This window comes from Homo sapiens, chromosome 1, assembly GCF_000001405.40.
Source record: "Homo sapiens chromosome 1, GRCh38.p14 Primary Assembly".
Taxonomy (NCBI): Eukaryota; Metazoa; Chordata; class Mammalia; order Primates; family Hominidae; genus Homo; species Homo sapiens.
In genome coordinates this window covers 32,132,566-32,160,310 of record NC_000001.11, presented here as the reverse complement: position 1 = coordinate 32,160,310, position 27,745 = coordinate 32,132,566, and the positions used below count along the sequence as shown (strand labels likewise).

General features: G+C 42.8%; 1 protein-coding gene across 5 annotated transcripts in view; it reads right to left on the bottom strand.

Annotated features, from left to right (window-relative positions):
- The window catches only part of KPNA6 (karyopherin subunit alpha 6), a 68,508-nt gene that overhangs the window by 16,253 nt on the left and 24,510 nt on the right, over positions 1-27,745 (bottom strand). For 2 of the 5 annotated variants that reach the window (NM_012316.5, XM_024446166.2), the window contains exons 2-6: positions 5,590-5,723; positions 3,366-3,458; positions 2,866-2,965; positions 1,950-2,044; positions 780-911 (exon numbers count right to left, since the gene is read on the bottom strand). In NM_012316.5, the coding sequence (NP_036448.1) occupies positions 780-911; positions 1,950-2,044; positions 2,866-2,965; positions 3,366-3,458; positions 5,590-5,723 (554 nt within the window). Of the gene's footprint in view, positions 1-779; positions 912-1,949; positions 2,045-2,865; positions 2,966-3,365; positions 3,459-5,589; positions 5,724-17,286; positions 18,003-20,446; positions 20,557-21,039; positions 21,691-27,745 lie in introns of those variants that run through there. The other 3 variants (XM_047416671.1, XM_024446165.2, XM_005270711.4) reach the window with 3 other exon arrangements.

The window sequence follows — 27,745 nt, the reverse complement described above, 5'->3', positions numbered from 1 at the left end:
TTTTTTTTTTTGAGACGGAGTCTCGCTCTGTCACCCAGGCTGGAGTGCAGTGGCACAATCTCTGCTCACTGTAACCTCCACCTCCCGGGTTCAAGTGATTCTCCTGTCTCAAGCCTCCTGAATAGCTGGGATTACAGGTAAGCTCCACCATGCCCAGCTAACTTTTTAGTATTTTTAGTAGAGATGGAGTTTCACCATGTTGGTCAGGCTGGTCTTGAACTCCTGACCTCGTGATCTGCCCACCTCGGCCTCCCAAAGTGCTGGGATTATAGGCGTGAGCCACCGCGCCTGGCGAAAGTTGCACTCTTGTAGCTGCCTTGGACCAAGTCTATAAAAGAGCCCACTACCACTCTCCAATTCTATCCAACTAGTAAGAATTCAATGGGAGAAATGGAAGTTGTATCTTTATCTCCATGATTTGTGGGTACTCAGATATGGGTACTGTGGTGTCTTTTTTCCAATGGCACTTCCAACAACAAATGTATAGAGTTTTTTCCACATCAACCACCCATTCTCTGATACCAACCATGTGTCCAACGATTTAATTCAATTCTGACTCTAACACCTAGAGTTAATGCAGAGTCCGCAGGTTAGTCCCACAAGACTGCCCCAACTTGAGATACCAGTTGCAAGTCCCAGGGGCCATCTGTACTTGACACCCCTATCACTCAGGAAATTCCAAGAGTTTTAACACTGTGCCAAGAACCAGGACAAAGACCAAATATATTTTTTATTATACCACAGGTACTATAAAGAATCACACCAAATCTAAGCATTACCTGTTCCTGAACATCCTCAAAGTCTGAATTAAGCAGCTCTATAAAAATGGGGACAGCCCCTGCTTCAATGACAATTTTGGTCTGCTGAGAGGTTCCAGAGGCAATATTCGTTAGAGCCCAGGCAGCTTCAAACTGAAAGTGAGATTAAGCAATGATTGAAAGGTCATTTCAGACTGAGCAGCCATGCCTATCAGCTGGCTCAGAACAGTAAGCCTCCTGCCCATGAATTTAAAAAACCAAAACAAAACCTCACAAAACACAAGCAAGCCTCTTGCCCACGAATTTAAAACACACACACATAAAATACAAGCCTTTCCCCTCCCGTCTTTAGAGAGTGGGAAGATGCAGTGATGTGATATAGATGAGAATAAGACATTGGGCTTCCAGGGTCCCAGGTTTAGTCCTGCACTACCACAACACCCATGCATCCTTTGCCAGGTCACTCTTTTATTTCCTGAGCTTCACTTTCTTCATTTCTGAAATGAGGATTAGAATGAAATGGGTCTCTCAAAGTCCCTTTCAGCTGAGTTCTGGCAAGTTCCAATGGATTGACCCATCACCCATCTCTGAAACAAGAGACCCAGAGAGGCTAAACAATTTGCCTCAGGTCACACAGGTAGTGGACTATAGCCTCTGATTTATAACTGAATGATCAGTCTATCATAGTCTGGTGCCTTTCCTTTGAAATTGTTTTAAGGAAGAGATTCTGGCTGTGAGGGAACTGATGGTTTCTCCTGAATGTTTCCTAACATTACTTTTGAACTTCCTGAGAGATATGTCAATAGAAGTATCCCACTGCAATTTCTTGGAAGTAGGGCTTTCATCTAATAACCCCTTCCCAGTAGTGGGGGACTGGGGGTGGGATGGGGATAAGTAATGGGTACAAAAAAACCCAGAAAGAATTAATAAGACCTACTATTTGGTAACACAATAGGGTGACTATAGTCAATAATAACTACACAATTTAAAATAACTTAAAGTGTATAATTGGATTGTTTGTAACTTAAAGGATAAATGCTTGAGGAAATGGATACCCCATTCTCCATGATTTGCTTATTTCAAATTGCATGCCTGTGTCAAAACATCTCATGTATCCCATAAATATATATACCTACTATGTATCCCCCAAAAATTAAAAGACAAAACAAACCCCTTCCCTTCAGGCCTCACCTGTAATGTACAATTCTCATTCCTCTTCAGAAACTCCACGAACCGATCCACCACTCTTGGAGTGTTGATAACTTCATCTATTGGAGGACTAGGCTCTGGATAAGGGAGAAGGGAAAATAAAAACACAGGAGAAGCTTTTGCTGATCCCTTCATGGGGGTCAGCTTGCAATCCTTCTTAGACACTTCTGACCACCCTTACAAACATTCCCAAACTCCCTTCTGGTAAGGTGGTTTTAACAATATCTACTCGTCTTTGAACTGTATAATACAGCTGGAATGTTAAAGAGTAAAGCCAATCCTAATTTAAGAATGTTCATCTTTGGCTTACTAAATGTAAGCAAAGAAAGGTGTGGGAGAGAGAACCACCTAAGGGATGAACAACCATGGTCTGCACATTTCCCTTTCAAGAAAGACCAGTACTCTCTTCTTGGGAAGACTATTTGATATACTGAAACAAGAGGTATTTTTCCAATCATACATTAAATTTTTTTATTAAGTACCTATGGTGTGCCACACAGTTCTAGGTACAGAGGACACAGGAGGGAACAAAAACAAAAGTCTCTGCCCTCAGAGAGTTTATATCCTAGTGGGAAGAGTCATTTTATTATGTTAGAAGATAAATATAATGGGGGGAGAGGAGGAGAATATGTAGGGCAAGGTAAAAAGATAAAACTGTTGAAGGTGGGATTTAATCATAGGAGTAAGGGAGTTGCTACAAAGATATCTGGGAATAGAGGACATCAGGCAGAGGAAGTATCCAGTGTGAAGGTAGCAATGTGTCTATCTTGTACAAGCAACACCAAGGTCAGTAGGGCTAGAGCAGAATGAGTGAGGGCACGTGTAAGTTGATGACATCAGTGAAGAGAAAAGAGGCTAAATCATATAAGGCCTCTCTGACAAGGGCCAGGCTTTGTACCTTTGGAGAGCAGTTTCCGGAATTTCTGTGTGGTTGCTAACTGCAGGTCAGAATCATCAGAAAAGAGCATCTCCACCATCTCTCTTGTGATCACACTCTCCTAGAACATAAAACAAGTTTAGGACTTTGCAAACCAACATTAGAGCCAGATGTGAGCACATAATACTGCTTGGCATCCTGTTTTCTAAAAAACTGAGGGCAAGAGGATGGCATAATAGGCTCAGGAGAAGGGGTCTGTTTAATCTATAGGTGCTTCAAGTTGGGACATTTGAAAAGTGATTCCTAATTCTGAGGCAACTGATGGCTTCTCTTAAATGTTTCCTCAGATATATCTAACAAAGTTGAATCTTTGTTGACTCCTAAAGCTGACGAAAGGGTCCACAGAGGAAAGAACTTGTCATGGTTACTGGCAAAGCTGGTAGATGATGTGAACGGCCCAATTTCTGTCCTTAGAAGCAGGTGTTTTCCAGGTCAGCCTGAGGCACATGCAGGGGCCTTACCCCAGTGGTAGAGCTCACATAAGAGTCCATGAGAAGACTATCGAACATGGCAGCTTCTTCATTAATCAGCTCCACATTTCTCCGTTTAAAAAGCTGAAAGTAAAGAGACAGTGGTTAAGAGTACTCTCTGAACCAAAGAAAACAAAGAACAATCCAATGTTAAATTATGGCATAACTGACAAGGATATACTAGAGTAGCTGAGAAGTGAGGCCAAGCTTTATACATTAGTCTCCCCTTATTCAGTTTTGCTTTCTATTATTTTAGTTATCCAGTCAACCGTGGTCTGAAAATATTACACAGAAAATTCCAGAAATGAACAATTCATAAGTTTTAAATTGCATGCCATTCTGAGTAGTGTTGAAGTTTCACGCTATCTTGTTCTGTCTGGCCCAGGATGTGAACATCCTTTGTCCAGTGCATCCATTCCATGCTGTATACGCTGCTGCCAGTTAGTCACTTAATAACCAACTTGGTTATCAGGTGGCAATTGCTTGTGTTCAAGTAACCCTTATTTTACTTAGTAATAGCCACAAAGTGCAAGAGTAGTGATGCTGGCAATTCAAATGTGCCAAAGAGAAGCTGTAAAGTGCTTCCTTTAAGTAAAAAGATGAAAACATGAAAAAAAACATAGTATATGTAAGGTTCAGTAATATCTGCAGTTTCAGGCATCCACTGTGGGTCCTGGAATGTATTCCACAAAGAGAAGAGGAGACTATTGATTACTAACATGGAAAAGATATTCAAGGACTTGGAGGCAGAGGCAGCAGTGGGCCAAGATCACGCCACTGTACTCCAACCTGGGCAACAGGGCAAGATCCTGTCTTAAAAAAAAAAAAGAAAAAAAGGAATGATAGTATAGCAAAAGGGTGGGCAAAATCAGGTTAGGTTGGCCAGGCACAGTGGCGCATGCCTGCAATCCCAGCACTCTGGGAGGCCAGGGCAGGTGGATCACTTCAGCTCAGGAGTTCAAGACCAGCCTGGGCAACATGGCAAAACCCTGTCTGTACAAAAAAAAAAAAAAAAAAAAAATCCACAAAAATTAGCCGGGCGTGGTGGTACATGCCTATAGTCCAGCTATGCAGGAGGCTGAGGAAGAAGGATCACTTGAGCCCGGGAGCTTGAGGCTGCAGTGAGCTGAGATCATGTCACTCACTGCACTCACTGCACTCCAGCCTGGGTGACAGAGTGAGACCTTGTCTCAATAAATAAATAAATAAATAAATAAATAAATAAATAAATAATAATAATCAGGTGACTGAATCTGTTGGCGGGGTGGCGTAGGAGTGCAGATGGTGAGGCATTATTATAGTCTCAGGCTGGGCGTGGTGGCTTACGCCTGTAATCCCAGCACTATGGGAGGCTGAGGCGGGCAGATCTGGGCAGATCACAAGGTCAGGAGTTCGAGACCAGTCTGGCCAACATGGTGAAACCCAGTCTCTACCAAAAATATACAAAGTTAATTGGACGTGGTGGTACATGCCCGTAATCCTAGCTACTCGGGAGGCTAAGGCAGGAGAATTGCTTGAACCCAGGAGGCAGAGGTTGCAGTGAGCAGAGATCGTGCCATTGCACTCCAGCCTGGGTGACAGAATCAGACTCCGTCTCAAAAAAAAAAAAAGAAAAAAAAAAGAAAAGAAAAGGTAACAAGGAACTAGAACTAGAATGTTACAGTAAAGACATAAATGATGTCTAAGTTGGTCTAACTTGTGAAAAGGGGATAAGGTCAGTTTTCTCTTTCTCAAAGCTCCCAACATTTATTTACAACAAAGGAAACTGGATGAGTAGCTCACTCAGTAAGTAAGCTACTTTTCTTTTTTTTTTTTTTTTTTTTTTTGAGATGGAGTTTCACTCTTGTTGCCCAGGCTGGAGTGCAATGGCACGAACTCAGCTCCTGCAACCTCCGCCTCCCAGGTTCAAGCAATTCTCCTGCTTCAGCCTCCCAAGTAGCTGAGATTGCAGGCGCATGCCACCACGTCCGGCTAATTTCTGTATTTTTAGTAGAGAAAATGAAGTTTCACCATGTTGGCCAGGCTGGTCTTGAACTCCTGACCTCAGGTGATCTGCCTGCCTTGGCCTCCCAAAGTGCTGGGATTACAGACATGAGCCACCATGCCCACCTAGTAAGCTACTTTTCTACAGGGCAAGTCAGGGTGCATGGTGGAGGCCAACCATAGGGGCTTGTTTCCCAGAATAGTATGTTTGAGAATACTCCCATTAACTCACTTGTTGCTCTCGCTTCTGCTTCCGGAGCTGAATGCCCTCTTCCTCTCTTCTTCGTCTCATTTCTTCAGGGTTTAGAGCATTGTTCTTATAGCTCTTCATTCGATAATTGTCTTTCCCTGGGCTCGCCATGGTCTCTAGAAGAAAAGATACACACTGCCAAAAACTCTTGAGAGGACAGCATTTCCTTTTCACTAGACTTCTATCCCTACCCACCCTTCACCCTCCCCTACTCTGGGGGGAATACAGCTCTCTGGGAGCTCTCAATAGCACCTGACATCTCTACCCACCCCCCAGCCCCAGTATCTTTTAATTACAATAAGCTTGCTAAACAGGTGGTATTAAAGCAATTGGTATAAGCTTAGTAGTTAAAAGTGTGGGCCCTAGAGACAGATTGTCTGGGTTCACATCCTGACCCTTCTACTTGTTAGCTGTGCAACCTTGGACAAGCTCCTGTAACTTTTATTGCTTCAGAATTTAATCTTTAATAAAACAGGAACACATCAGGCACAGTGGCTCCCACCCGTAATCCCAGGGGTCTGCAGACCATACTTTGAGAAATGCTGTTTTTTTTTTTTGAGACAGGGTCTCACTCTGTCACCCAGGCTGGAGTGCAGTGGCACGGTATCGACTCACTGCAACCTCTGCCTCCTGGGCTCACGTGATTCTCCTGCCTCAGCCTTCCGAGTAGCTGGGATTACAGGCGCACACCACCACAACTGGTTAATTTTTATATTTTTAGTAGAGACGGGGTCTCACCATGTTGGCCAGGCTGGTCTCAAACTCCTGACCTCAGGTGATCCACCTGCCTTGGCCTCCCAAAGTGCTGGGACTATAGGCATGAGCAACCACGTCCAGCCAAGAACTGCTGTTCTAAGCAGTGAATTACTCAGTTGTAGGTAAATAAATGTTAACTTGACCAGCTAGTGCCAAAGTTGTCTTCCATAGTACTGCCACTGACAAATATCTTGACCAATACTTTTGACAATCTACTGGGTGTCATAAAGTATTTCACAGAGATGATTATTTGCATATCCCAGATTACTAATGAGGTTAGATTTCATGTTGTTATTAGCTATATGTTTCCCCTTCTGTGAAAAATGTTTGTTTCTGTATTTTTAAATATTTTTCTTCTTTTTTTTTTTTTTTTTTTGAGACAGAGTTTCACTTTTGTTGCCCAGGCTGGAGTGCAATGGCACCATCTTGACTCACTGCAACCTATGCCACCCAGATTCAAATGATTCTCCTGCCTCACCCTCCTGAGTAGCTGGGACTACAGGTGCCTGCCACCACGCCTAATACGGCTAATTTTTGTATTTTTAGTAGAGACGGGGTTTCACCATGTTGGCCAGGCTGATCTCGAACTCCTGACCTCAGGTGAACTGCCTGCCTCGGCCTCCCAAAGTGCTGGGATTACAGGCATGAGCCACTGCGCCTGGCCTGTTCACGTTCTTTTAAATCAGTTATCTGTGACTGTGTACTTTCTTCATCCTTAATATTGTCTTATTTGTGCCCTCTTTTGTTCCTGAGAACCTTTACCAGAGACTTGACTATTTTTATTTTAGTCTTTTGCAAGATCCAAGTTTTAGCTTCATTGAGTCTTCTCTACTATATGATTTCTATCCCCTTTCTACATTTTTTCTAATTTAAGTTGTATATCTAAGTAATTAAATGTTCACACTATACTTTTTTTTTTTTTTTTTTTTTTGAGATGGAGTCTCACTCTGTCACCCAGGCTGGAGTGCAGTGGCGCGATCTTGGCTCACTGCAACCCTCCGCCTCCTGGGTTCATGTGATTCTCCTGCCTCAGCCTCCCAAGCAGCTGGGATTGCAGGTGTGCACGCAGGGCTAATTTTTTTTATTTTTATTTTTATTTTTTTTAGACAGAGTCTCCCTCTGTTGCCCAGGCTGGAGTGCAATGGCGCCATCTCGGCTCACTGCAAGCTCCGCCTCCTGGGTTCACGCCATTTTCCTGCCTCAGCCTCCCGAGTAGCTGGGACTACAGGCGCCCGCCACCACGTCTGGCTAATTTTTTCTATTTTTAGTAGAGATGGGGTTTCACCATGTTAGCCAGGATGGTCTTGATCTCTTGACCTCGTGATCCACCTGCCTCGGCCTCCCAAAGTGCTGGGATTACAGGTGTGAGCCACCGTGCCTGGCCCCACACTATACTTCTATATTACCTTTCTAAGGCTTATAAATTTCCTTCAAATTAATATTTGTATTGTAATTCAGTCCTAAATATCTAATTACTTTTGATTTATTCAATTTACATAAGTGTCCCATGTGTGCTTGAGAAGAATCTGTATTCTTAAATTATTGTGCATGGCTTTCTGAATATCATGTCCATTAAATTAAGTTGTCATCATGTTGTTCTTTATTTATTCATTATTTTTTGAGATAGGGCCTCCCTCTATTGCCTAGGCTGGAGTGCAGTGCACGATCACAGCTCACCACAGCCTCAACTTCCAGGGCTAAAACAATTCTCTTGCCTTAGCCTGAGTAGCTGGGACTACAGGCTCGTACTACCATGAGTGGCTAATCTTTACGTTTTTTTTGTAGAGATGGGGGTCTCACTATATCGTCTAGGCTGGTCTTGAACTCCTGTCCTCAACAATCCCCCTGCCTCAGCCTCCCAAAGTGCTGGGATTATAGGCATGAGCCACCATGCCCATCATGTTGTTCAAATCTTCTATTAATGTTTCACTTCACTAATGTTTTCCTTATTGATAGTGAATGTAGCCATTTTACCCCGTAGTTTAATTTTGCTTTATGTATTTTAATACTATTTCATTAGAAGCATACAAATTTAGAACTGTTGTATCTTGACTGTGAATAGAAGTTTGTTATAAAGTGAGCCAAATTATTCCTTAACAATGCCCTTTGTTGCCCTTTTTCTTTTGTTGGATATTAATATAGTTATCACTTCCACTTCCAGCCATGATGGAATAAGAGGGATAGGATTTCCCCTGTTGCTATAAACTGTTTCAGACATCGGGCAACAGCAATGCAGAATTGTGATTCTCCAAGAGGGAAACGAATTAAGTGAGCTCTACTTGTCTCCTTGGCTTTCTGCCCAGAGGCACATTCTATAGCAGAAGAGGGGTCCCAAACAGCACCACGGAAATCTCACCAGTGGAGGAGAGACTAGAGACTTCAGTGAGACTGAGGTGGCTGAAAACACTGAGACAGCATTCCAGCGAGGAGAGAAATAGGCAGAAAAAAAAAATTGGGAAATCTGTTTGGGGTTCCCTAAATCTTTGCTGAAGACTAAGGATGCATACATGCTGGGTGAAGCTCCATGAGTCACACAAAGGGCAACTGAGAAGCTGTATGTAAGCTCAGCAGTTCCCAGAGCTCGCACAGGGCTGAGAGACTTTAGACAAATCTGAATGGGGATTTCTCCCTGATCACTTAGGGCATAGTAGAGACCCTAAGAAGGGCTATGGCTTAGTAGTGGGATTAAACTATTCCCAGAAAAGGCTACTCATGAAGCTTAAAAACGAGCCTTACACTGCTAAAACAGAACACCTATAAAACGCCCTACATCCTTTAAAAAAAAGACAACAAAATCCAGACACTAAAAACAAAATTCACAATGCTTGGAATCCAATTAAAAATTATGGGCCAGAGCCAGGCATGGTGGCTCATGCCTATAAATCTCAGCACTTTGGAAGGCTGAGGTGGGAGGATAGCTTGAAGAACCTAGGAGTTCTTCAAGGCTGCAGTGAGCTATGACTGCACCGCTGTACTCCAGCCTGGGCAACAGAGTGAGACCCTGTCTCTAAAAAACAAAAACAGCCGGGGCGTGGTGGCTCACGGCTGTAATCCCAGCACTTTGGGAGGCCGAGGTGGGCGGACCACGAGGTCAAGAGATTGAGACCATCCTGGCCAACATGGTGAAACCTCGTTTCTACTAAAAATACAAAAATTAGCTGAGCTTGGTGGCACGCACCTGTAGTCCCAGCTACTCGGGAGGCTGAGGCAGGAGAATCACTTGAACCAGGGAGGTGGAAGTTGCAGTGAGCAGAGATCATGCTACTGCACTCCAGCCTGGTGACAGAGGGAGACTCTGTCTCCAAATGAACAAACAACAAAAAGTACTATACATGCTAAGCAGCAGAAAAATTGTGACCCATAGGAGAAAAATCAGTCAAAAGTTAGATCCAGAAATGACACTTCAGTAGATAGTAGGATGGTTTCAAGTGCTCTCATATATTAGTAACTGGATTCACAGGGGAAAAAAATTGAGAGGCAGACAGAAAAACATTTACAAGCAAAGACTAAAAATTGGCAGGGCATGGTGGCTCAAGCCTGTAATCCCAACACGTTGGGAGGCCGAGGCAGATGGATCACTTGAGGCCAGGAGTTCCAGACCAGCCTGGCCAATATGGTGAAAGCCTGTCTCTACTAAAAATATAAAAATTAGCCAGGCGTGGTAGCTGGTGCCTGTAATCCCAGCTACTCGGGAGGCTGAGGAAGGAGAATCACTTGAACCCGGGAGGCGGAGGTTGCAGTGAGCCAAGATCATGCTACTGCACTACAGCCTGGGCAATAGAGTAAGACCCTGTCTCAAAAAAAAAAAAAAAAAAAAAAAGACTAAAAATTTTCCAGATCTAATCCCATTAACCCTAAAAGCTATGCTAATCCTTAAGCAAGATAAAAACAAAGAAAATCACAAGACACATCACAACCAAAATCTTGAAAAGCAGCGATAGATAAAATCTTAAAAGCAGCCAGATAAAGACCTATTAAGACCAAAGATAAGAATGGCCTAGCTTCTTGTCAGAAACCGTAAGTCAGAAAACAACAAAACATTTTTAATGTTCTGGAAAAAACAAAAAGCTGGTAAACTAGAATTTTATATCCAACAAAGATACTTTTTGAAATGAAAGCAATTCAGCAGGTCATGGGCTAAATTAAAAATAATATTAATAAAGACTTTTTCAGATAAAAGCTGAGAGACTTTTTCTCTAGCTGACCTGCACTAAAGAAATGCTAAAAGTCTTCAAGTAGAAGGAAAATGATACCAGATGGAAACTCGGATATCCACAAAATGAAAAACACTAGATATGGCAGATAAACATAAAATAACTTTTTTGCCATTTAAAAATTGTCTTTAAAAAATAAGGCACATGGACACACACACAAAAACAGGGAAGCATGGCCCATTCGCGGAATAAAGTAGAAACCATTCCTAGCTGCGTGTGGTAGCTCAAGCCTATAATCCCAATACTTCGGGAGGCCAAGATGATAGGACTGCCTGAGGCCAGGAGTTAGAGACCATCCTGGGCAACATAGGGAGACCCTGTTTCTATTTTAAATAATTTTATAAAAATAGGAAACCATCCCTCAGGAAGCCCAGAGACTGGACTTACTAGACAGATTCTAAAACAACTGTCCTAAATATGCTCAAAGAGATAAAGAAAAACCTGGACAATGAACTAAAGGAAATCTGAAACACAATACATGAATAAAATGAGAATATCAATAAAAAGAAAGAAATTATAAAAAGGAACCAAACAAATGTTCTAGAGCTCAAAAGTACACTTATTGAAATAAAAAATTCACTAGAGGGGTTCAACAGCAGATACAAGCAGATAGAAAAAAAAGTAGCAAACTTGGAGACAGATCAATTAAAATTATCCAATCTGAGGAGCAGAAAGAATAAAGAATGAAGAAAAATGAACAGAATCGAGTGGACCCATGGAATACCATTAAAAGGACCAATATGGCCGGCACGGTGGCTCATGATTGTAATCCCAGCAATTTTGGAGGCTGAGGCAGGAGGACAGCTTGAGCCCACAGTTTGAGACCAGCCTAGGCAACATAGGCAAGATCTCATCTCTATTGAAAAAAAAGTAGGGGGGCCGGGCGCAGTGGCTCATGCCTATAATCCCAGCACTTTGGGAGGCTGAGGCGGGTGGATCACAAGGTCAGATGTTTGAGACCAGCCTGGCCAATATGGTGAAACCCCATCTCTACTAAAAATACAAAAAACATACCCAGGCGTGGTGGCGTGCGCCTGTAATCCCAGCTACTCAGGAGGTGAGGCAGGAGAATTGCTTGAACCCGGGAGGTGGAGGTTGCAGTGAGCCGAGATCGCACTCCAGCCTGGGTGACAAAGCGAGACTCCTTCTCAAAAAAAAAAAAAGAAAAAAAAAAAAGACCAATATACACCACATTATGGGAGTCCTAAGAGCAGAAGATAAAGAGGTAGAATATTTGAAAAAATATGGTCAAAAACTTCCCAAATTAAATAAAACACATGAATCTACACATGAAGGAGCTCAATGAACTCTAATGAAGATATACACATTTGGGATACTGAGGCAGGTGGATCAACTGAGGTCAGGAGTTCGAGATCAGCCTGGCCAACAGGGTGAAACCCTGTGTCTATACTAAAAAAAAACAAAAATTAGCCAGGCATGGTGGCACCTACTAAAAAACCAATTAGCCAGGCATGGTGGAACGCACTTGTAATCCCAGCAAGTGGGGGGGCTAAGACAGGAGAATCACTTGAACCTGGGAGGCAGAGACTGCATTGAGCCGAGATCATGCCACTGTACTCCAGCCTGGGTGATAGAGTGAGATTCTGTCTCAAAAAAGAAAAAGAAAATATCCACATTGAGACACATAATCAAACTGATGAAAGCCAAAGACAGAATCCTGAAAGCAGCAAGAAAGAAGTGACTTATCACATACAAAGATGCCCAATAAGATCAACAGGTGATTTCTCATTCGAAATTATGAAAGTCAGGCTGGGAGCAGTGGCTCAGGCCTGTAATCCTAGCACTCTGGGAGGCCAAGGCAGGCGAATGGCTTGCGTTGGAGACCAAGAGTTCAAGAACAGCCTGGGCAACATGGCAAAACCCCGTCTCTACAAAAAGTACAAAAATTAGCTGGGCATGGTGGTGTATGTCTGTAATCCCAGCTACTTGGGAGGACGAGGTGGAAGGATCACCAGAGCCCAGGAGGTTGAAGCTGCAGTGAGCCGTGGTTGTACCACTAGACTCCAGCCTGGGCAACAGGGCAAGACCCTGTCTCAAAAAAAAAAAAAAAAAAAAAAAAAAAGAAAAGAAATCACGAAAGTCAGAAGGCAGTAGAATAAGAAAGTGCCGAAAAGAGGCTGGGTTCAGTGGTTCATGCCTGTAATCCCAGCACTTTGGGAGGACAAGGCCAGACGATTACTTGAGCCCAGGAGTTCAAGACCAGCCTGGGAAACAGAGCAAGACCCTGTCTCTACAAATAATTTTGTTTAATTTAGTTGGGCATGGTGGCGTGCACCTATGGTCCCAGCTACCTGGGACACCTCTAAGTCAGGAGGATTGCCTGAGCACAGGAGGTTGATGCTGCAGTGACTTGTGATTGCACCGTCACTCCAGCCTGTGTGACACAGTGAAACCCTGTCTCAAAAACAAAACAAAACAAAACAAAAAGCAAAGTGCTGAAAGAAAAACCGTCAAGCAAGAATTCTATATCTGACAAAACTGTCCTTCAAAAATGAGGGAGAATTATGACATTTCCCTATAAGCAAAAGCTGAGGGGCTTTGTTACCACTAGACCTGCTCTGCAAGAAATGCTGGCTGGGCCTGTAATCTCAGCACTTGGGAGGCTGAGGCAGGAGGATCACATGAGCCGAGTTCGAGACCAGTCTAGGCAATGTGGTGAAACCCCATCTCTGCAAAAAAATATATAAAAATTAGCCGGACGTGGTGGTATGCACCTGCAGTCCCAGCTACTTGGGAGGCTGAGGTGGATTGCTAGAACCTGGGAGGTTCAGGCTGCAGTGAGCCGTGACTGTACCACTGGACTCCAGCCTGGGCAACAAAGCAAGACTCTGTCAAAAAAAAACACAAAAAACAAAAAACTAATGGGAGCCCTTCAGGTTGAAATGAAAGGACACAGTAACTTGATGCCATATGAAGAAATAAAGATCTCTGATAAAGGTAACTATATGGGCAGATATAAAAGCCAGTATTACTATACATCGGTTTGTAACTTTTCATTTCCTACATGATTTAAAAGACAAATGCATAAAATAATTATAAATCTACATTATTGGTCACACAATGTTTAAACATAAAATGTGTGATGACAACAGCATAAAGGAGGAAACAATGCTGTACATGAGCAGTTTTGTATGCTTCTGAATTAAGCTGGTATTGATTCCAACTAGAGTGTTATAAAGTTAGAATATTAAGTGTAATTCCCATGGTGTTCACTAGGAAATATCCAAAAAACTACATGCACAGAAAATAAAAATTAAAAATATACACAAAAGGAAATGAGAAGGGAATAAAGAGAGCTGGAATAGCTACATGAATATCTGACAAAACAAACTTTAAGTCAGAAACTGTTACCAAAAAGAAAGGACATCATATGGCCAATTCATCAAGCTATTAAAAAACATATGCAATAAACAAGAGCCCCCAAACATGAAGCAAGTTCTGACAGAAGTGCAGAAAAAATATTTGGAGACTTTTTTGTCCCCACCAACTGTGGCCTACAGATATTTGGAGACTTTTAATGAACCACGTTCAATAATGAACAGAACACCTAGACAGAAGATCGATAAGTAACAGAGGACTTGAACAAAATTATAAAGTAGACCTAAGAGAGATATACAAGGCATTCCACCCAATAACAGCAGAATATACATTCTTCTCAAGTATAGATTCTCCAGGATAGGCCATATGTTAGCCCACTAAAAGTGTCTCAATAAATTTTGGAAGACTGAAGTCATATAAAACATTATCTCTGACTACATGGAATGAAGCTAGAAATCAGTAACAGAATGATAACTAGAAAATTCACAAATATACAGAAATTAAGGAAGACATTCTTTAAAATGTCGGAAGACTCATATGTCCTGATTTCATAACTTACTACAAAGGTACAGTAATTAAAACAGTGTGGTACTGGCATAAGGATAAGCATATGGACATACAGAATAGAATTGAGAGTCCAGAAATAAACCCTTACATCTACGGCCAGCCAACTGATTTTGAAGAAGGATATTATGTCCATTCAGTGGAGAAATAAATATTTCATTGTATAGAGAATATTTTATACATTATATAAAATGAAATATTAGCCAGACCAGGCGGGGTGGCTCACATCTGTAATCTCAACACTTTGGGAGGCCGAGGTGGGCAGATCACTTGAGGTCAGGAGTCTGAGGCCAGCCTGGCCAACATGATGAAACCCCGTCTCTACTAAAAATACAAAAATTAGCCAGGCATGGTGGCGGGTGCCTGTAATCACAGCTACTCAGGAGGCTGAGGTGGGAGAATCACTTGAACCTAAGAGGCAGAGGTTGCAGTGAGCTGAGATCGTGCTGCTGCACTCCAGCTTGGGGAACAGAGCTTGCTCCATCTCCAAAAAAAAAAAAAAGAAATACAAATCAAAACCACAATGATTCAACCTGAGAAAGCTGACTGAAAAACGTATATAAAAAAGTTTTGGCCAGGCGTGGTGGCTCACATCTGTAATCCCAGCACTTTGGGAGGCCGAGGTGGGTGGATCACGAGGTCAGGAGATTGAGACTATCCTGGCTAACCCAGTGAAACCCCGCCTCTACTAAAAATACAACAACAAAAAAATTAGCTGGGTGTGGTGGCGGGCCCCTGTAGTCCCAGCTACATGGGAGGCTGAGGCAGAAGAATGGCATGAACCTGGGAGGCGGAGTTTGCAGTGAGCCGAGATCGCGCCACTGCACTTCAGCCTGGGCGACAGTGTGAGATTCCATCTCAAGAAAAAAAAAAAAAAAAGTTTTAGGCCAGGCGCGGTGGCTTACGCCTGTAATTCCAACACTTTGGGAGGCTGAGGTGGGGAGATTATCTAAGGGTGGGACCCTCCAGCCTGGCCAACATGGAGAAATCCCATCTCTACTAAAAATACAAAATTAGCTGGGCATGGTGGCACATCCTTGCAATCCCAGCTACTCGGGAGGCTGACGCAGGAGAACTGCTTGTACCTGGAAGGTGGAGGTTACAGTGAGGCGAGATTGTGCCACTGCATTCCACCCTGGGCGACAGAGCGAGACTCCATCTCAAAAAAAAAAAAGTTTTAAAAACCACAGTGACATACTACTCCACACCTACTAGGATGGAGTAAGAATAATAAAAGCACACGCTGGCTAAGATCTGGAACCTGGTGGATTGCTGATAAGAATGGAAAATGGTGCAGCCACTGTGGAAAACAGAATAGTAGTTCCTAAAAAAATTAAAAAGAATTACTATATAATCCAGCAATTCTACTTTTATACGATTTCTCCCTTATTCAGTTTTGCTTTGCAGAGTGTCAGTTACCCATGGACAACAGTGGTCTGAAAATATTAAATGGAAATTTCCAGATAAAAACAATTCATAAGTTTTAAATTTCATACTATTCCAAGTAACATGATGAAATATCGCGCTAACCATCTATTCCACCTGGGACATGAATCATCCCTTTGTCCAGTATATCCACACTGTATACACTGCCAGTTAGTAGCAGATATTGCAGTGTTTGTGGTCAAGTCATCCTTATTTTACCTAATAATGGCCCCAAAGTGCAAAAGTGATGATGCTGGCATATTGTTATGTGTTCTATTTTATTATTATTGTTCTCAATCTCTTATTGTGCCTAATTTACAAATTAAACTTCATCATAGGTACGTATGTATAGGAAATAATATAGTATATAGGGTTTGGTACCATCTGTCGTTGCAGGTGTCCACTGGGGGTGTTGGAATATATTGCCTGTGGATAAGGCAAGGACTACTGCATATGGATACCATGGAATATCATTCAGCCAAAAAAGGAATGAAGGTCTAACACATGCTACAACATGATTGAACCTTGAAATTAATGTGCTAAGTGAAATAAGCAAGACACAAAATATTCCACTTACATGAGGTACCTAGAGTCAAACTCAGAAAGTAGATTAGAGGTTACCAGGTGCTAAGAGGAGAGGAAAATAGGGAGTTATCGCTTAGTGGGTACAGAATTTCTGTTAGGGGTAGTAAAATATTTGGAAATAGTGATGATGATGGTCACATAACATTGTAACTGTAATTAATGCCACTGTATTGTACACTTAAATTGAAAATTTTGTTACATATATTTTATCACTAATAATTTTTTTTTCTTTTCTTTTTTTTTTTTTTAAGACAGAATCTTGCTCTGTCACCCGGGCTGGAGTGCAGCAGTGCGATCTTGGCTCACTGCAACCTCCACCTCCCAGATTCAAGTGATTCTCCTCAAGTAGTGGGGATTACAGGCACCCACCACCATGCCCGGCTAATTTTTGTATTTTTAGTAGAGATGGAGTTTCTCCATGTTGCCCAGGCTGGAATAATTTTTTTTTTTAATCGGCATTGTAGCCTGGGCTCAGGCCTGTACTGCCAGCACTTTGGGAGGCCAAAGTGGGCAGACTGCTTGAGCCCAGGAGTTCAAGAGCAGCCTGAGCAATATGGTGAAACCACAATCTCTACAAAAAAATACCAAAATTAGCTGGGCATGGTGGCATGCACCTGTGGTCCCAGCTACTTGGGAGGCTGAGGCAGGAGGATTGCTTGAGCCCAGGAGGTTGAGGCTGCAAGTGAGCTGTGTCTGCACCTCTGCACTCCTTTTGAGGCCCGATTATCCCTGTGAGACTAACAGAGTAGACAACAGATTTCTGAAGGCAGCACTATGAACTGCTGTCCCCTATTACCTGACACATAGCTTTTCATGACTGAGCCTGGGCTGTCCTGGACGCTAGCCTCTCCTTCAAGCACAGCTGACAGTGAAGCTGGGAGGAGAGCCATGCTGAGCTTCTTTAGTCACCATGGTGACAAGAAACTATCACAAATATTTGCTTATGACTTCACTGGGGAAGCAGACAAGGGAGGTTAGATTGGAAGGAGGAACATCTGCACAAGCACATCTGGAATCTCAGGGATCCAGCACGCCAGCGGCTTTTTCCATTATGTACTCCCTTACTTGCTGTGGATGAATTTTTTAAAATTCACAATACAAATAAACTTTTCTAGCATCTGGCTGTCCTAGACTGTCTTTGGGTTTTCTTAGTCAAGGAACTCTCTCAAAGTGAATAGGTCTCTGAAGTCACACCTTTCATTTCTAGGGAATGTCTAATGTTGCCATGCACTTTCTAAGCTTTTAAAACCAAAGAGCTAGCAATGATAATACAAAATAGGTAGGGGCCTTAAAATGGCTGAATCATGTCTGTTCCTAATTCATATTATGAAGTCCTAAACCCCAATACCTCAAAACGCGTCTATATTTGAAGATAGAGTCCTTAAAGAGGTAATTAAGGTAAATAAGGTTATTGGGGTAGGCCCTAATCCAGTAACTGGTGTCCTTAAAACAAGAGAGGGAGAACAGCATGTGAACATGAAGACAGCTATATAGAAGCCAACAACAAACGGCTGAGAATAAAACAACCCTTCTGACAACTTTTTTTTTTTTTTTTTTTTTTTTTTGAGACAGGGTCTCGCTCTGTCACCCAGGCAGGAATGCAGGGACACAATCTCAGCTCCCTGCAACCTCTGTCTCCGGGGTTCAAGCGATCCTCCTGCCTCAGCCTCCTGAGTAGCTGGGATTACAGGTGCGGGCCAGCACGCCTGGCTAATTTTTTGCATTTTTAGTAGAGACGGTCTCACCATGTTGAGGCTGGTCTCAAACTCCGTGATCCGCCCGCCTTGGCTTCCCAAAGTGCTGGGATTACAGGCATGAGCCACTGCACCTGACCTCTTCTGACAACTTGATCTCAGACTTCTAGCCTCCAGAACTGTGAGAAAATACATTTCTGTTGTTTAAACCACCCAGTCTGTGGTTCTTTGTTATGGTGGCCCTCGCAAACTAATATAGGCCCTAATTACCTAATCTAAATAAGGCACCGACTCCTGCCAGTGTCTGATATCAAATTCAAGTTAATTAAGCCTTGTCTTTAGACCTCGGCAAAGGCGACAATCGAAGTAAACTGCTTTCATGAGACACAAGGACACGCCTGTAATAAGAAAGGTTAAGATTCACTTAATAGGCCAGGCACGGTGGCTCATGTCTGTAACCCCAACACTTTGGGAGGCTGAGGCGGGTGGATCATCTGAGTTCAGGAGTTCAAGACCAGCCTGGCTAACATGGTGAAATCCTGTCTCTACAAAAATATAAAAATTAGCCAGGCATGATGGTGGGTGCCTGTAATCCCAGCCACTTGGGAGGCTGAGACAGAAGAATTGCTTGAACATGGGAGGCGGAGGTTGCAGTAAGCCAAGATCGCGCCACTGCACTCCAGCCTGGGTGACAGTGTGAGACTCCGTCTCAAAAAAAAAAAAAAAAAAAAAAAAAAAAAAAAAAAAAAAAGGATTAACTTAAAAAAAAAAAGCCCTAATGGATAAATGAAAAAACTGAGGCTCACTCAGGTCACACATTAGTGAGTAGCAAGATTGCCATAGTGCTCCATTTAATCACTGGTATGTTTAACATTTTGAGATTCATAAACATTTTAAACTCAGGCCAATTGACTGTTGAGCCTCCCCTCCACCACCATACCAGATTTTCATAGGAACTCACCTTCACAGTACAAGTTTTCCTTTTATTAATACAATGAATTCTCACCCTAGACCACAGATCCAACCAACCACAAACCTGAAGTACATGTATGGACTAACACCTACAACATCAGGATTAATTCCCCCAAAGCAAGTAAAGCCAGCCATGATGCTGGGATGTGATGGGTGAGAAGATAACCCACAATACACAAGTGATAGACACAATAATAAATCCAAAGATTTCACAGATGTTCTTCCAAATCTTACCTGGCCCAGTTTCTTACCAAAGATGCCATAAGAAAACATCAAAGATGGCTTAAATTTTGCTGTCTTCTTACTGGTCTACCTATTAGTTATTTACTGTAAATTAATATAAAGTTGATGACAAAATTTGGGTATTGTTGTAACTCTGCCAGCTAAAAACACACTGTAGGAACAGTTCTAGGAATCTCACCTGTGATTCCTTGTACTGAGAACCAGACACTTGTGAGTGCATTTTTTCATTCATTTTCCCTTAGCTACTGCCCCATTTCTCAGTTCTCAAGAATAGCCGAACTATTTTTTCTGTTTCCATTATAAACTGCTTAAACACTAAAAGTTTGATATAGTACAATATCTATAAATTATCCACTAAGATTCAATGATTTTTAACATCATATTAGTTTTATTCTATCAGATGTATATATAATATAGCTATATTTTTAACTGTACATTTGAAAATTGTAAATGTCATCACTTGGCACTTCGCCCAATTACTTTAGTATGTATCCCATAATAAGGACCTTCTTCTTTTTTTTTTCTCCTGAGACAGAGTCTCGCTCTGTTGCCCAGGCTGGAGTGCAGTGGCACCATCTCAGCTCACTGCAACCTCTGCCTCCTGGGTTCAAGCAATTCTTCTGCCTCAGCCTCCCAAATAGCTGGGATTACAGGTTCACACCACCATGCCCAGCTAATTTTTGTATTTTTTAGTAGAGATGGGGTTTCACCATGTTGGCCAGGCTTGTCTCGAACTCCTGACCTTGTGATCCGCCTGCCTCGGCCTCCCAAAGTGCTGGGATTACAGGCGTGAGCCAGGCCCAGGACCTTCTTCTTATATAACCACAACAGCATTTTCAAACCAAAGAAATTAACAAAATACCCAATATCTAGTTCATATTCAAATTTCTTAATTATTTCAACATATCCTTTATATCTGGGTTTTTCTCCCCAAATCCAGCCAAGGTTCACACATTGTATTTGTTATTTTAACATTTTATCATGGAAAATTTCAAATATACACAAAAGTAGACAAAACAGTAAATAAAATGAATCTCATACACTAACCATCCAGATTCAATGATCAACTAGCAGCCATTCATATCTATGCTTCTGCCTCTCCCAGATCCTTGAAGCAAATTCCTGACCTATCACTTCATCCACATTTCAGTATGTATCTGCAAACAACAAAGCCATTTTAAAAACTACAATATCATTATCCAACATCTGATCACTTTTAATCTATAATGTCCATCCTCCTCTCCCCCAACCCTTTTATTTGCTTGTGATACTTTCTGAAGAGACTAGGTCAGTTTTCTTATAGAACGCCTCACATTCTAGTTTTGTGTTATTAAACTCATACCCTTACCCCTTGTATTTCCTGTAAAATGGAAGTTAAGTCTAGGGGCTAGAATAGATTCAGGTTGAAAATAACTTTTGGTGTTGCTGGGTTATAGATGGAGAAAAAAACATATATATATAGTAATTGTTGGCCAAGAATATATATAGGTGATGCTGTGTGCTTCATACTGTTTCCTACTACATAGCCTTTGCACTTCCTGTTCTTTTTGCCTTCAACGCTTTTCCTTAGCTCTTGGAATTGCTGGGTCCTTCCCCATTACCCTAACCCAAAGTAAGTTACCCTATTTTTGTCAGAACACCTGTTTTCTTTCTTTCATTATACTAATTCCAATCCATCTGCTCTCCATAGGATGTTAAGTTCCACAAAGGCAGAGTTGTTGTATCCCCGGCATCTACAACAAATATTTGTCGAGTGAATCACCATTCAAATATTTATTATATACTCATCGAGCATATACGTTGTTCCAGACACAAGGCCTAGCCACAACAGCTATTTAATAAGTGTTTGCCAGATAGGTAAGTAAAGGAGTATATAGCAAAGAAACCTTCCTTGTGACTGGAGTGAAGCAGACCCTCCAAAAGCAGACTACAGAAGAATTTCTTACTAAAAACCCAGAAACCACGATTTCCTCCAGAATTCATGTGAAAATTAAACTAAAACCATCCATTATAAAAACTACAGGACACAAGACACAAATACCTCAGAAAAAGCCAGTTTAGACTGTTAAATCCAGTGACCCACTCAGTAGTCATTGCATTCAGCTTTCTAATTTGTCACTGATGATCACCTTTGCCTTCCTGAAACTCTATTCATGATTCTAGTAACACCATCCTCTCCCAATTTTTCTCTTAGCCTTCCAACCACTCTTCAAGTTTCTTACTGTGGTCATCTTCCAGAGCCAACCTCTCAATGTCAGTGTGTACCAAAATCCTACCTTTGGTCCTCTTCTCAGCAGGAGGAGCCCCCACTCCAAGCTCACGATCTCCCTTAGCTTCCACCTCCATTTTTTTTTTTTTTTTTTTTTTTGAGATGGAGTTTCGCTCTTGTTGCCCAGGCTGGAGTGCAATGGCGCGATCTCGGCTCACCGCAACCTCCGTCTCCCAGGTTCAAGTGATTCTCCTGCCTCAGCCTCCCAAGTAGCTGGGATTACAGGCATGTGCCACCACGCCCGGCTAATTTTGTATTTTTAGTAGAGATGGGGTTTCTCCATGTTGGTCAGGCTGGTCTCGACTCCTGATCTCAGATGATCCACCCGCCTTGGCCTCCCAAAGTGCTGGGTTGACAGTCATGAGCCACCGCGCCTGGCCAGCTTCCACCTCTACTTTTAAACCAAGTTTGAAATCCCTATTGTCAAAACATCTTGCCTACCAGCTATCTTCACCCAACTTTCTCTTTAAACCAGTTTCTGCTATCTTCCCTATTTTTTTTTTTTTTTGGACAGAGTTTCACTCTTGTCATCCAGGCTAGAGTGCAGTGGCACGATCTTGGCTCATCGCAACCTCTGCCTCCCGGGTTGATGCGATTCTCTTACCTCAGCCTCCCAAGTAGCTGGGATTACAGTTGCCCACCACCATGCCCAGCTAATTTTTGTATTTTTAGTAGAGATGGGGTTTCACCATGTTGGCCAGGCTGGTCTCGAACTCCTGACCTCAAGTGATCTGCCTGCCTCAGCCTCCAAATGTGCTGGGACTACAGGCGTGAGCCACTGTGCCTGGCCTATCTTCCCTATTTCGCAGTTAATGCCATCACCATTCACCTGGTCTTGGAGTCACCCATGAACATTCTCCTCCCCAATTCAGGAAACTGATTTTTATCTGTTACTCCAAATTGGCTCCTACTGACCACCTCCAATAAATTTTAGTTTACACCCTCATCACCTCTCACTTCTAGATTATTAAATCTTTGAGAACAAGAACTCTTTTACTTATCTTTGCGTCTATAGCAAAGTACACAGCATGCCCTCAAATGTTCCATCTAACATTTTAAACTTCAGTTTTCTAGAGAATCTGAAGTCGTTTACAATAAATTCAATGAAATATAAATAAAACAAGAATCTGGACTAGGAATATACAAATTTATATAGAAATTGGGGGAAGTAGCCAGGTGCAGTGGTTCACACTTGTAATCCTAGCACTTTGAGAGGCCAAGGTGGGAGGATCACCTGAGCCCAGGAGTTAGAGACCAGCCTGGGTAACCTAGCAAAACCGTCTCTGAAAAAAATTTCAAAAATTAGCCAGGTGTGGTGACACACACCTGTGGTCCCAGCAACTCGGGAGGCTGAGCTCGGAGGATTGCTTGAACGGAGCTTGAGACTACAGTGAGCCGTGCTGGTATCACAGTGCTCCAGCTTGGGTGACAGAGCAAGACCCTTTCTCAAAACAAACAAAAAAAAGTGGGGGAAGATGAATGCAGTAAACAGAACCCAAAGAACCACTTAATTATTAAAACAGAGTGGCATTTTGGCATGTCAGCTACCCGTCATCCAAAATAAAGTAAAATGAGCACTTACATAATTTTCATTGTCCTTGAAGAGAACACTCAAGTATATTTGGAAAGCAAAGTAATTCTTTTTTAATTGTTTTATTTTTGTTTTCTCCTCTACTACTCATTCAAGAAGGAAAGCAACGTATTTCTGAAACTTGGCTTCAAGAACGAATAATACCTAAGGCTTTAGGGTCTGCCCTTTAGGCTTTGATTTGAAAACCAGAAACGCTGGCAGTAATAGTGTATGATGTCTCTTCTAACCATATCTTCACTCCAAATGTAATGAATTGGGGAGGAATAAATGCGTAGAGAATCTCATTCTGCTTATTCCATATAACTTCCCACTTTATCAAACAGAATCCATAGGCTGAATCAGAATAGATTTAGATTATTAGTCTGATCTCTCCTCTGATACTCTGAATCATTGTTCTATTTCCCTGACCTATAACCTATGTCTGAGTACTACCAGTGATAATATATTATTACAAAAGCAACCCATTTCATTTCACACAGCTCTAATTACTAAGGTTTCCATCATTGTGAATGAGACCTACATATGACTAACTTACATGAGTCCCATTTGTTAGATTTGCTAGATCAGATTTTCAAGAGAAGCTAAAGGCAGGGCTCACATCTGTAATCCCAGCACTTTGGGAGTCCAAGGCGGACAGATCACCTCAGTTCAGGAGTTTGAGACCAGCCTGGTCAACATGGTAAAACCCTGTCTCTACTAAAAATACAAAAAAAATTAGCCATGTGTGGTGGCAGGCACTTATAATCCCAGCTACTTGGGAGGCTGAGGCAGGAGAATCACTTGAACCCAGGAGGTTTCAGTGAGCCAAGATCACGCCCTTGCACTCCAGCCTGGGCAACAAGAGTGAAACTCCATCTCAAAAAAAAAAAAGAGAGAAGCTAGAAATGTGGATTTTATATACAGCCAACTGTTTAATGTTTGTTTAATTTTTGAAAAACATATTAGTCCCTGTAAGACACATCTACTACAAGCCAAGTGTGGCCTACAGACTACTAGTTTGGAGCCTCTGGTTAAATTGTTAATACAAATTAAAGAGCATGTTAGAATTTTTAAGTGATCCTATCTCTTTGTGCAGACTTTTAAGTGTCCTGTTGGCAAAGAAGTCCTATTATTTTTATTTCCTTTGGTAATAGGTTTATTGAGATGTAATTCCTAAACCATACAATTCATACATTTTTAGTATATTTAGTATGATTTTTGGTGTATTTATAGAGCTGGGCAACCACTAGCACAATTTTAGAACATCTTCATCATCCTAAAAAAAAAAAAACCCCATAACTCTATGGCCAGGCATGGCAGCTAATGCCTGTAATTCCAGCACTTCGGGAGGCTGAGGCAGTCAGATCACTTGAGCCCAAGAGGTCAAGACTAGTCTGGGCAAAATAATTAGACCCTGCCTCTAAAAAAAAAAAAAAAAATGGCCAAGCATGGTGGCTCACACCTGTGATTCTAGCAATTTGGGAGGCTGAAGTGGGTGGATCACTTGAGGTCAGGAGTTCAAGACCAATCTGGGCAACATAATTAGACCCTGCCTCTAAAAAAAAAAAAAAAAATGGCCAAGCATGGTGGCTCACGCCTGTAATTCTAGCAATTTGGGAGGCCGAAGTAGGCAGATCACTTGAGGTCAGGAGTTTGAGACCAGCCTGGCCAACATGCCAAAACCCTGTCTCTACTAAAAATAAATTGGCCAGGCGCGGTGGCTCACACATGTAATCCCAGAACTTTGGGAGGCTGAGGGGGACAGATCACCTGAGGTCGGGAGTTCAAGACCAGGCTGACCAACACGGAGAAACCCCACCTCTACTAAAAATACAAAATTAGCCAGGCCTGGTGGTGCATGCCTGTAATCCCAGCTACTTGGGAGGCTGAAGCAGGAGAATCACTTGAACCCGCGAGGTGGAGGTTGCGGTGAGCTGAGATTGCGCCACTGCACTCCAGCCTGGGTGACAAGAGTGAAACTCTGTCTGTAAATAAATAAATAAGCCAGGAGTGGTAGCACGTGCCTGTAGTCCCAGCTACTCAGGAGGCTGAGGCAGGAAAATTGCTCGAACCTGGAAAGCAGAGGTTGTGGTGAGCTGAGATTGTGCCACTGCACTCCAGCCTGGGCAATAGAGCAAGACTCCATCTCGAAGGAAAAAAAAAAAAGTAAAAAAAAAATAAATAAAATTAAAAAAAAGAAACCCTATTACTCTTTAGCTGTCACCCCCAATGCTCACCCACCTAAGCTGTAAACAATCACTAAGGTACTTTCTATTTCTTACAGATTTGCCTGCTCTGGACATTTCATTTAAATAGAACCATACAATATGTGGTCTTTGACTGGCTTCTTTCACTTAGCATAATGATTTTGAGGTTCATCCATGTTTTAACATATATCAGTACATTCTTTTTATAGCACTTTTTTTTTTTTTTTTGAGACAGACTCTTGCTCTGTTGCCCAGGTTTGAGTGCAGTGGCATGGTCTCAGCTCACTGCAGCCTTTGCCTCCCGGGTTCTAGCGATTCTCCTGCCTCAGCCTCCCAGGTAGCTGAGATTATAGGCGTGCACCACATCTGGCTAATTTTTGTATTTTGAGTAGAGACGGGGTTTTGTTATGTTGCCCAGGCTGGTCTTGAACTCCTGGGCTCAAGTGATCTTCCTGCCTCAGCCTCCTAAAGTGCTAAGATCATAGGCTAAGTCACTGCAGGTTTAGTGGTAACAACCCCCCTAAGCTTTTGTTTATCTGGAAATATCTTAATTTCTCCCTCATTTTAGAAGGGCAGTTTTGTTAGATATAGAATTTTTTTTTTTTTTTTGAGACGAAGTGTTGTACTGTCACCAAGGCTGGAGCGCAATGGTGCAATCTCGGCTCACTGCAACCTCCGCCTCCTGGGTTCAAGCAATTCTCCTGCCTCGGCCTCCCCAGTAGCTGGGACTACAGGGGCCCACCACCCATTTTTTAAATACAAAAAAAAAAAAATTTTGTATTTTTAGTAGAGACGAGGTTTCACCATGTTGGCCAGGCTGGTCTCGAACTACTGACCTCAGGTGATCCACCCACTTCAGCCTCCCAAAGTGCCGGGATTACAGGCATGAGCCACCACGCCTGGCCTCAAGCAATTCTCTTCCTTCAGCCTCCGCAGTAGCTGGGATTACAGATGCCGGCTGCTGCACCTGGCTAATTTTTGTATTTTTAGTAGAGACGGGGTTTCACCACGTTTGCCAGGCTGGTCTCGAACTCCTGACCTCAAGTGATCCGCCTGCCTCGGCCTCCAAAGTGCTGGGATTACAGGGGTGAGCCACCACGCCCATGCTGCCTGGCCAGATATAGAATTCTTGCTTGACGGTTTTTCTTTCAGCACTTTGCTTTTTTGTTTTGTTTTGTTTTTGAGACAGGTTTTTGCTCTGTCATACAGGCTGGAATGCAGTAGTGCAATCAACTCCCTGCAGCCTAGACCTTGTGAGGCAATCTTCCTACCTCAGCCTCCCACACAGCTGGGACCACAGGCCCATGCCATCATGTCCAAGTAATTTTTTTTTTTTTTTTTTTTTTTTTGTAGAGACTAGGTCTTGTGATGTTGCCTAGGCTGGTTTTGAATTCCTTGGCTCAAGTGATCCTCTGGCCTTGGCCTCTCAAGGTGCTGGATTACAGGTATGAACCACTGCACCTGGCCTCTTTCAGCACTTTGTTATCCTACTGCTTTCTAACCTCCACAATTTTTTTTTTTTAAGACAAGGTCTTGCTCTGTCACCGAGGCTGCAGTGCAGTGGTGCAATCATGGCTCACTGCCGCCTCAACCTCCCAGACTCAAGCAATCCTCTTACCTCAGCCTCCTGAGTAGCTGGGACTACAGGTGTGTACCACCACACCCGGCTAATTTTCGTATTTTTTGTAGAGATGAGGTTTCAACATGTTTTCCAGGCTAGTCTCAAATTCCTGGGCTCAAGTGATCTGCCTGCCTTAGCCTCCCAGAGTGCTGGGATTACAGGTGTGAGACCCCGCACCCAGCCCTGCAACCACTTAAAAAAATACTCTGGGGCCAGGCACCGTGGCTCACATCTGTAATCCCAACACTTTTGGAGGCTGGGGCAGGTGGATCACCGGAGCCCAGGAGTTTGAGACCAGCCTGGGCAACAGAGTGGGACCCCATATGTATATATTTTTTCTTTGAGACGGAGTCTCGCTCTGTCGCCCAGGCTGGAGTGCAGTGGCGCCATCTTGGCTCACTGCAAGCTCCGCCTCCCAGGTTCACGCCATTCTCCTGTCCCAGCCTCCGGAGTAGCTGGGACTACAGGTGCCTGCCACCACGCCCGGCTAATTTTTTGTATTTTTAGTAGAGACGGGGTTTCACCGTGTTAGCCAGGATGGTCTCGATCTCCTGACCTTGTGATCTGCCCGCCTCGGCCTCCCAAAGTGCTGGGATTACAGGCTTGAGCCACCACGCTGGGCTGGGACCCCATATTTTTAAAATAAAATGGCTGCACTGACTGGAAATGGTGGCTCACG